Source organism: Homo sapiens, chromosome 1, assembly GCF_000001405.40.
Source record: "Homo sapiens chromosome 1, GRCh38.p14 Primary Assembly".
NCBI classification, from domain to species: Eukaryota; Metazoa; Chordata; class Mammalia; order Primates; family Hominidae; genus Homo; species Homo sapiens.
Window position 1 is genome coordinate 105,848,935 of NC_000001.11, and position 11,355 is coordinate 105,860,289.

The following is an 11,355-nucleotide window of genomic DNA, read 5'->3' on the forward strand; positions in this document are numbered from 1 at the left end:
GGCCTCAAGTGATCTGCCCTCCTCAACCTCCCAGAATGCTGGGATTACAGGCGTGAGCAATTTATTAACAGTTGTGTGACCGTGAGAAATTAGCTAACTTTTAGAAAACTGAAGTATCCCATATTGAACATATAAATACTTATATTTGGTGGTCACTATCAGAATCACAAATGGTAATATTTTAAATAGTGAGCCATAGCTTTTATGCCTGCTAATATAGTTTGGATATTTGTCCCTACCCAAATCTCATGTTGAGATGTAATCCTCAATGTTGGAGGTGGGGCCTGATGGAAGGTGTTTGGGTCATGGGGGCATATTCCTCATGGCTTTGTTCTGTCCTTGCAAAAGTCTTTGTGAGATCTGATTAAGAGTGTGTGGCACCTCCCCATCCCCCTCTCTTCCTACTGTTTTTCACCATGTGAAGTGCCTGCTCCTGCTTTACCTTCAACCATGAGTAAAAGCTTCCTGAAGCCTTCCTGGAAAAAGATGCCAGCAATATGCTTCCTGTACAGCCTGCCACTCAGACCTCTTTTCTTATAAATTACTGAGTATCAGGTATTTATAGCAACTGCAAGAACTATCTAATATAGAAGATTAGTACCGAACCCAGTAGGGCATTGCTATAAAGATACTTGAAAATGCGGAAGTAACTTTGGAACTAGGTAATGGACAGAGGTTGAAAGACTTTAGATGGCTCAGATGAAGAAAGAAAGTTGAGGGAAAGTTGGAACTTTTAGAGACTGGTTAAATGGCTGTAACCAAAATAGTGACAGTGATATGGACAGTGAAGTCCAGGCTTCTGAGGTCTCAGATAAAAATGAGAAATTTATTAAGAATGGAGAAAAGGTCACATATGTGATGCCTTAGCAAGGAGCTTGGCTCCATTCCATTCATGCCTTAGGGTTCTGTAAAAGTTTTTACTTGAGAAACATATTTTACAATATCTGGTGGAATAAATTTCTAAGCAGCAAAGCATTCAAATGTGCCTCACTGCTTCTAACAGCCTATGCTGAGATACAGGAGCAAATAAATGACTTAAAGTTGAAATATCTATTTAAAAGAAAAACAGAGAGTAAAAGTTGGGAAATTTCACAGACTGGACATATGGCAGAGGAGGAAAAAGCTGTTTAGGGAGAGGAATTCAATCAGGTTGTGGAACAACCACTTGATAGAAAAATTTGCATAACTAAAAGAGAAAGTGTTAATATTCAGACAATGGGAAAAAGGCCTTGAAGGAATTTCAGTGCCCTTCACGGCAGCTCCTCCCATCACAGGTCCAGAGGCTTAAGAAGGAAGAAAGATTTCATGGGCCAGGCTCAGGGCCCTACTGCACTGTGCAACCTTGGGACACTGCTTTCCACACCCTGGCCACTCTGGCTCCAGCTTCAGCTCAAAGGGGTCTAGGTACAGCTTGAGATGCTGCTCCAGCTCCAGAGAGTACAAAATGTAACCCTTGGCAGCTTCCACATTATGGTGTTAAGACTTCAGGAACACATAATGCAAAAGTGAAGGAGGCTTGGAAGCCTTCACAAAGATTTCAGAGCATGTAAGGAAAAGCCTGTATGTTCAGGCCAAAACCTGCTGCAGAGGTGGAGCCCACACAGGGAAACTCTAACAGGACAGTGTGGAAGATAAATTGGGGTTGGAGGTTCCATAAAGTCCCCAGTGGGTCACTACCTAGTGGAACTGCGGAAAGGGGGCTGCTGTCTTCCATACCCCAGAATGGTAGATCCACTGGTATCTTGCACTCTGCACCTAGAAAAGCTGCAGGCGTTCAATAACCTGTGAGACCAACCACAGGGTCTGAATGCTGCAAAACTTCAGGGGTGAAGCTGCCCAAGACCTTGGAAGTCCAGCCCTTGCACCAGTTTCCCTAGGATGTAGGACATGGAATCAAAGGAGATTATTGTGTAACTTTAAGATTTAATGATTGACTTGCTGTATTTCAAACTTGCATGGGGCCTACAGCCCCTCTTGTTTGACTTATTTCTCCCTTTTGGAATAAGAATGTTCTTTTCCAATGCCTATACTCCTGTGAAAGGAAAATAAATCTCAGGACCCCCAAATCACTAAGTCAAGAGAAAAGTCGAGGTGGGAACTATGTCAGCCAAACCTGCCTCCCATTTTATTCCTAAATAGGATAGCTACCAAGATAAGAAGCTACATACCTCTCTCACATTTTGCCCACAGGAAATTTCTTGTGGACAAATGACAGACAGAACTCAAAAGTCATCCCTCTAAGTTTCACCTGAGACAAATACATATCTGATTGCTTCCTCTGCCCTATTGTTTATGTAAAGATGCACATTTACTGAGCCAGACTAAATTTTGAATTGAGTCAAAGACTGAACAAGAACTCAAAATACTGCAACCTATTGTCTCTTATCTACTTCTAACCTGAAAGCTCCCACTTCGAGCTGTCCCACTCTACTGGATCAAACTAAGGTACATCCTACACATATTGATGGATGTGCCATATCTCCCTAAAATGTATAAAAGCACACTGTACCCATGACCACCTTGGGCACATGTTGCCAGGACTTCCTGATGCTGTGTCAGGGTGCATCTTTAGCTGTGGCAAAATAAACTTTCCAAATGGAGTGAGACCTGTTGTAGATATTTTGGGTTAACAGTTTCATTGTATCTTGGAAGTAGATAACTTGTTTTTGATTTTACAAGCTCATTAGTAGAAGTCTTGCCTTGTTTTAGATGAAACTTTGGACCTTGGACTTTTGAGTTAATGCTGAAACAAGTTAACAATTTGGGGAACTTTTGAAAAAGCATGATTGTATTTTGGAACCTAAGAAGGACATGAGATTTTGGGAAGACCAGGGGCAGAATGATATAGTTTGGATATTTGTCCCTGCCTAAATCTTATGTTGCAATGTGTCCTCAATGTTGGGGGTGTGGTCTGGTGGGAGGTGTTTGGGTCATGGGCGAAGATTGCTCGTGGCTTGGTGCGGTCCTTGTAATAGTGAGAACTGGTGATATCTGGTTAAGTGTGTAACACACTCCCACTCTCGCCCCACTCTTAGTCCTTTTTTAGCCATGTGAAGTGCCTGCTCTTACTTTGCCTTGCACCGTGAATAAAAGCTTTTTGAGTCCTCCCCAGAAGAAGATGCTGACACCACGCTTTCTGTACAGCTTCAGAACCATGAGCCAATTAAACTTCTTCTCTTATAAATTACCCCGTCTCAGGTATTTCTTCGCAGCAATGCAAGAACGGCCTGATACACCTGCCACGTAACAAAGACTAAATAAGAGTTAGTAATCATTATTATTGGTGTATTTTTTAGATAATTTGCCAGATTCTTTTCTGAACTCTGTATTATATGCATTTTCAAAGTTTTATGTGTTTTTTGAAGTGTATGATATATATGCAGTATGGCCTTTGACTGAGATTGGAACTATTGCAGCTACATGCAAGAACTTAACTACAAACTCATAAGAAAACTTGTAGTATAAACAATAGACTAAGCCATTCCTGTGTAAGGAAATAAGTGCATATTGCTTTAAATTACTAACTTTTGTGTTAATTTCTCCTGCAGCAATAAACAACTAAAATATCAGATTTAAAAGGAAAAACGGAAGTTTGGTTTTGTACACTGTGGCAGAAGCCTGTAGTCCAACTCCACTTGGCCCAATTTATTTTAGCAAAGGTATGATGAACAATTCCATAGTTTACTGGTTTCCAACCAAGAATGTATCATAGTATTGCTCTGTTTTTTGTTTGTTTGTTTGTTTGTTTGTTTTTTACCAGATGTAGGCACAACTCTGAAGTGCAAGGGAGACAAAAAGGTTTTGCTTCAGATCGTGTTTCTAAGGTATACAAATTAAAAATATTATGTTTGAAATGCTGACTAGCTGTCTAAGTTGTAATGTTGAGTAGGCAATTTAATATAATGTCTGTAATTCAATATAGAGCTCTGCGCTAAAGACAAATTTGACAGTTGTCAGAAAATATATAATATTTAAAGCTAAAAGTCTGGATGATCTTCCAAAGGAGTAAAGGCAGAAAAACATATCAAGTACAAGAAGTATGTTATGAGGCACTTCAATAATTTTTGCTTCTAAATAAAACAGAAACTCCGATACTCTTATCTATTCTGCATTGTCAGATATTTTTCTTATGCTAGTAATATAATATATACAAACATGTGTATTAGAGATCTCCAGAATATTAGGCCAATAGGATGTGCAGGTAAATACATAGATAGGTAAGTAGATAGGTAGATAGATAGATAGGAAGATTACATAGATAGGTAGACATACAGGCAGATAGATAGATGATAGATATAGATAGATAGATAGATAATCATTATTGTAAAAAAAAAGGTTCACATAATTTTTTGGAGGCTGACAACTCTCAATATCTGCAGTAGGTAAGCTCAAGGCCAAGGAGAGCTGACAGCATAATGCCAGTTTAAGTCCAAAGGCCCGAGAACAAGGAGAACCAATGATGTAGTTCCATTCCAAAAGCTGTCAGTCTCAAGACCCAGGAAGGGGTAATGTTTGAATTTGAGTCCAGAAACAAATGCCTGTCCCAACTGAAAAGCAGTCAAGCAGGAGGAATTCCCTCTTATTCTGGGGATGGTCAGTATTTTGTTCCACTGATGCCTTCCACAGTGTGAATGAGACGTACTCATATTAGGGGGAGCAATCTGCTTTATCCAGGCTATCAATGCAAAGGTTAAATTCATCCAAAAGCACCCTCACAAAAACAAAGAACATAATGTTTGACCAAATATCTGGGTACTCCATGGCCCAGTCAAATTCTCATACAAAATTAACCATCACAACCTACATATATATGCCTTTACAAAGAGTTTACTTATGTATTTCTTCCATATTTCTTCAACCCCCCAAATTCTTAATCTTGAGTGCTTAAAAAGTTTTTCATTTCGAAACTAAGTTGGACATTTGTAAATTTTATTTAAAAATAACTTCAAACATAAAAAGTTGTACAAATACAAATATTTTAAGAAATATCATTATATCTTTTATTCACACTCAGCCATTGTTAATATTTTGCCCCATTTTCTCTATCACTTATTTGCTTGTACACACTCTCTCACACTCACTGTAAATAGACTTGTATCTGCATAATGTTTGAAATATCTGATGGTTAGTTGCATATATCATGGTGCTTTACCTATAAATATTTCTATGTGCATTTCCTAACAATTTGGATATTCTCTCATATAACCACAGTCCATTTAGAAAAGTTATAACAATATTTATATAATTACTCATATAAGTTGCTACTCATAATCCAAATTTGTTGACTGATTTCATGATTTTTTTATAGCATTTCTACCCCTTTAGTACAGGATCTAATTTAGGGTCAGGTATTGCAATTCTTCCTCATGTCTTTTAGTCTTTTTAATTTGGAACACTTTCATGGCCAATTTTTGTCATTTTGACATTGACATTTTTTCTGAAAACAGTATGCTAACATTTATTTCTCAAATAGAGTATTTCTCAATTTCTGCTTTTCAGATGTTTCCTCATGATTAGGTTGAGGCTATGCATTACTGATCAAAATACTACATAGATGATTGTGTCTTCTCAGGATATAACATCTAGAAGAAAATCATATCCATCTGCCACTCACAGTTGATGCCAGTCAGACTATTGAATTATTTTTCAGTTTTTAATTACGATTTTGTTTTGATGGTTTTTTTCCTTCCAACTAAAAAGCAGTCTGTTGGGACACTGGAATATCCTCCTCTTTATTCAAACCTGCCTCTTAATTTATCATCCAGTCTTTACTGTGTTTGTTATAAAATGATAGATTTCTTGGCCGGGCACGATAGCTCATGCCTGTTATCCCAGCACTTTGAAAGGCCAAGGCAGGTGGATCATCTGAGGTCGGGAGTTTGAGACCAGCCTGGCCAACATGGTGAAAACCCAACTCTACTAAAGTAAATATAAAAATTAGTCTGGTTTGTTGGTGCACTCCTGTAATCCCAGCTACTTGGGAAGCTGAGGCAGGAGAATCACTTGAACCCAGGAGGTGGAAGTTGCAGTGAGCTGAGATCACAACATTGCACTCCAGTTTGGGTGACAAGAGCGAAACTGCATCTCAAAAAAAAAAAAAAAAAGAAAAAGAAAAAAGAAAAAGAAAAAAAAAGATACATTTTTCAATTTCAGCATTCCCTCCACGTTTACAACTCTGATATCTTACTGTGCAAAAAAGCCCTCAGTTCTGATATGTGTTTGTGTGGGTATGTGTGTGTAATATAAAAATTGGCAATATATTTACATATATTTTAATATATATAACATTAATAAATATGTAAATAATTAAATTGAGGTAATTACATGAATTCTTATTTTCAATGTTTTATAATTAATTTAATTATCTGGGTCCTCAAATGGCCCCTATTTGCATAGTGAATCCTCTTCAAGCAAGGTAGCTCCTGTTTCCTTGTGACTTGCCTCCATTCTTACTTTCTTGCATAAATGATGTTCTAGATTTATCTCATACCTAACCTGCCACAGACCTGTAATCATCCATGTGTTCAAGAATCTCTTTTGATAGAGATCAAGATCTGAGTACTAAGTGTTCTCATGTCCAGTGGGGTATGTTTGCTTTGTTGCCGTTTCTTTGAAAAGGATTAGGAAATTAATGCACTCGTACACATATACATATCCACACTTGCAAATATAAACAGACATGTACATATACAGGCATACTGTGAAAGAAAAATAAATCTGGGGGTCCCCAAATCACTAAGCTAAAAGAAGCTAAAAGAAAAAGCCAAGCTAGAAACTGCTTAGGGACAAACTGCCTCCCATTCTATTCAAAGTCACCCCTCTGCTCACTGAAATAAATGCATATCTGATTTCCTCCTTTGGACAGGCTAACCAGTAATTCAAAAGAATGCAAACATTTGTCTCTTATTAACCTATGAGTTGGAAGCCCCCGCCCCACTTTGAGTCTTCCCGCTTTTGCTTCGAGTTGTCCTGTCTTTCCAGACTGAACCAATGTTCATCTTGCGTATGTTGATTAATGTCTCATGTCTCCCTAGAATGTACGAAAGCAAACTATGCTCTGACCACCTTGGGCACATGTCGTCAGAACGCCTTGAGACTGTGTCACGGGCACGCATCCTCAATGCTGGCAAAATCAACTCTAAATTAACTGAGACATGTCTTAGATTTTTGGGGTTCACAATACACTCACATATAATATATGCATATGCTTATAAATATATGTATATGTACATTTACATATTTTAAGAATCATAAGTTTGCAAAGGTACTTCCAGTTCTAATCCATTATCATGTGCTCTTTTATTGTTTTCCCCATTTGTTTATTTTCCACACTGAGAATGGAGAATCCCACCAACAATCATCAGCACGTTTGATTCAATTAATTCTATATTTCATGGAAATTAATTTCAGAACTTAAACTTCACTTACCACTACATATCTACTAAAACTACATCAGAGTGTTTTGCACTTTATTCCTTAATCCTCACAGCCCATCCTGCTCCAGACTCGGTACACAATCAACTAGTATCTATGTGTTAATAAGTCAACAGGAGAAGTTTTTTTTTCATTATTTCTTTCTCTTCTTTCTTATTTCCTTCTTTTCTTCTTTGTCTTTCTTTCTTCCTTCCTTTCTTCCTACCTTCCTTTTTTCCTTTCTATTCCTTTCCTTTTTTTCCTTTTTTCTCCCTCTCTCCTCCTTCTTTTCTTCCTTCCTTCTTTTCTTCCTTTATCTTTCCTTCCCTCCTTTTTCTTCTTTCATTTTTCCCTTTCTTTCTCTTCCTGCAGTGCGGTTAGTGTACTCACCTGAAATATAATTAAATTTATTTGTTGTCTTTTAAAGTGGGTTTCTTCCCCCTTTCATATTCTTACCGATTTAATTTCTTTTTATAACAATGATATTAATATGTTTTTAAAAGTCAAAGTGGTTTAAAAAGATAAACTTCAAGAAGTGCCTTGTCACTCACTCCCTTCAACCCATCCTTTGTACTAACTTTATTTATTTGTACTTCTAGTGCTTCTTTTTGTAATGAGAAAAAGACACATGTCAATTTTCATTTCTTTCTTACAAGCAAGGTAGCATACTATGTATATTCCTTTACATTTTTTTCACTAAATAGTATATACTGAAAATCACTCTAAATCAGTTTCACGTAGCTCTTTCTCAATTTTTGTAAAGCTGCATTAAAAGCCACTGCAATCACCAATACACTTCCTTTTCATGTCATTTTCATTGGATATTCAGTAATTACTTCAAACTCAGTATTTAAAACGGAGATCACCATTTTGTTCCACAAAATAACCTCCAAGGAGAAATTCAGTTTTTGTTTGTGGTATCTTTGTAACTTTTTAGGCCACTAAATAATTACTCCTGTTTTTACTCATTTACCTATCATTGTTATCATAGTTATACAACTATCATCCTTAAAATCATTTTATTCTTACAATACTTTCTACCTCATCATTGCTGCTACTTCAGTTCACAACATTTCCATCTTGTAGATATTTCATTGCCTTTGGGATTCTCCTTCTATTTTAATCTCATTTACATTTACTTGTCCATCTAAGATTTCTATAATATTATTTCCTGACATTCATCTGGGTTCAAAACCTACAACAGCCCCTCATTATTTACTTCTAGATGCTAAGAACCTTTCTATCAGTGCTTTTCTGGTTTATGCCAACTATTATTTATAATATCTCATATCTTGATCATATATTATGGGTTTACTTTGGCTTGTCTGCATTTGATTAAGCTGTTCATTTAAACTGGGATACACTCCTCATTCAGCCATCTAAATTTGTCACATTTCATGATTCTCCTGCGACAACTCTGGACCACATTCCTTTGAAACTCAACCACCTTCCTCATAATTCCTGAGATATTTTATAATTACATGAAAATCATTTATGTATCTATGTTCATCTTTATAACTTTATGAGATGTATCTTATAAAACAAAGCATAAATGTTAATAATTATTAAATATTTTCTGAATATTTACAATAAAACATAATTTAAAATATTCTGTTATATTTTATCATAATATTTTATAATTTATTTTACTTGTATATTTTCTTGATTAATTTTAATTTTAATTAGTATTTTTATTAATAATAAAGTCATTTTAGCTTACTCCAAGCCAAGAATCTTAGTATTTAAGATATTCTTTTACAGATTTACACTGAGCCAGTGTTGTTAATATGAAAATATTTTCCAAGATTGATGGACTTTTCATCTTAATTTAGTCAATGGTATGTTAGATATTATTATGACAGAAATAAATTAAGAGCAACATATCTGTACATTAGCCTATTCTATTTCAGCTTCTTAAAATAGCTGATAGTCCTCCTGCACATTGTATATTGTGTATTTATGTTAATTATTGAAGTAACCGGGACTGAAGTCTTTACTGGGGATATCAATTTAATATTCATGTGTAACTATCCATACACTCTTATTTAGTAAACACTGATGATTTTGTTTGAATTAAGACCTTCTAGCTTCAATAACCATTGTCATTATGGATGGTGTTCTTGCGATAAAAATGAAAAATATATCAGTTTAAACTGGGATGTTCTCCTCATTGGATCATCTAAATTTGTTATATTTCATGATTCTCCTGCAACAACTCTGGAACACATTCCATTGAAATTCGACTACCTTCTTCATAATTCCTAAGATATTTTATAATTGCATGCAAATTTCTTATGTATATTATGTTATGTTCTTATGTATATTATGGTATATTATGTTATATAAAATTTCTTATGTATATTATATTATATTATGTTCATCTTTATAAGCCCTTCTTTGCCTAATGGAGCCCCTTCAAACAAGATGGACCCTCTTCCTTTGTGACTTTCAAAGAGTTGTAAGCACCAGCTAGACTATTGCACAGTGCATTTTTAACGTCTTGGTTTATTTTCCCCATTGCTACCATTAACAACACGTTTGGATTACTGACAAGTCTATATAGTTTTTGTTGTAGCCTAAGAATGTAAGGATGTATACAACGTATGCCAAACGTTTGATTAGGATAGTAAATACAACTGGAGTTCAGGAAAAGCTATGGCATTTCCAGTGAACCAAGTGACAGGAGAGGTCATTTTCGGGAGACTAGAGGATAAAAGTTTAGAGAAGTCTTAAGAACAGATTTTCATCCGTGAATTCCAGACTCAGGAGTATGGGTTCCAATGTAGGCTTTCAAATCTGATCTTTCAGATGTAAAATATAATACTAACTTCAAATGATTAATATGTTTATGTGACTTACAATTCATTTTAGTGGCAATAAACGCGTTAAGAATTGGTTGAAACAGGCAGAAAATGTGAACTGCCTGGAAGAAGGGTATGTATTAAATTCTCATTACAGTTGCAAATTCAGACTCCATCTTTGGGTTTTCATTTACAGTAAAAGCACACTTTTGCTGCATTTATAGAAGATTATTAATCTGAACTCTTTTTCCTTTCAGTGCAGTTATTTGTATCAGATGAACATTAAGACCTTACTTCTATTACTTTAAAAAGGTCTTGACCACCAGATAAAATCCATTAAGGAAAATTCCACTTACATTGATACCATGTTGCCTCTTCAAGACTGGTAAAGTGCAAAAAATCTAAAATTCTCAGTACAGTAATTACAACTTCAGAGAAATTCTCAGAATGGATAATGTAACAAAGTAACTTCTTATCATTTCTGGACTTCGAATAAAGGACAAAAAGTTAATTGACTAAAATGATAACGTTTAGCTTTGGAATGAAAGCACATTAACCTGTAAAGTCAATTTATTTCATTGAAAATAAATGATTTTACCTCACTACATTTTCACTGTAGAAAGCAATTGTGGGAAAGAAACATCATTAAACCATAAATTGCGAATATTAACAAAAGTTATTAGTAATGGTTAAATAAATTCACTTTTATAGCATTCATATAAACATGGCAGGCACACAAATGTGTGTGATTATCTTAGAACAGTTGAGACACCATTCGAAGCATGCACTTATATATTCTCTAGAATCTGCTTTAATCAGAGGAGCACATAAATATGAGATGATGCATGATAAGCAATAAAGAGACATGGGTTGAGAAACTATGAGTTAACAATGTTTGCAATATATTGAGAACTATATAAATAAATAGATATTTCAAACTGCATAATTAAGGATGTCTCTTTAAACAAGGAGTGGTTTTATTTAAAAGTGTATTTCCATCCACAAAAAGCATATGGCAAGTGGAATAATTGCTGTGTTATAAACCCCATGTAACTTTAACTTAAACAAAAAAAGGAATCATTAGCCACAGTACTGAGCTTTGTTACTCAAAGAATAGCCTTCATTCTAAGGCTGTAGTTGG

General features: G+C 35.4%; 1 long non-coding RNA gene across 1 annotated transcript in view; it reads left to right on the plus strand.

Moving 5' to 3' along the window:
* LOC105378883 (uncharacterized) overlaps positions 1 to 10,540 on the plus strand; it is a 29,116-nt gene extending 18,576 nt beyond the window's left edge. The window contains exons 3-4 of the long non-coding RNA XR_947660.1: positions 3,549 to 3,659; positions 10,472 to 10,540. This is a non-coding gene — a long non-coding RNA (uncharacterized LOC105378883). The remainder of the gene's footprint in view (positions 1 to 3,548; positions 3,660 to 10,471) is intronic.
* Positions 10,541 to 11,355: the final 815 nt, after the last annotated feature.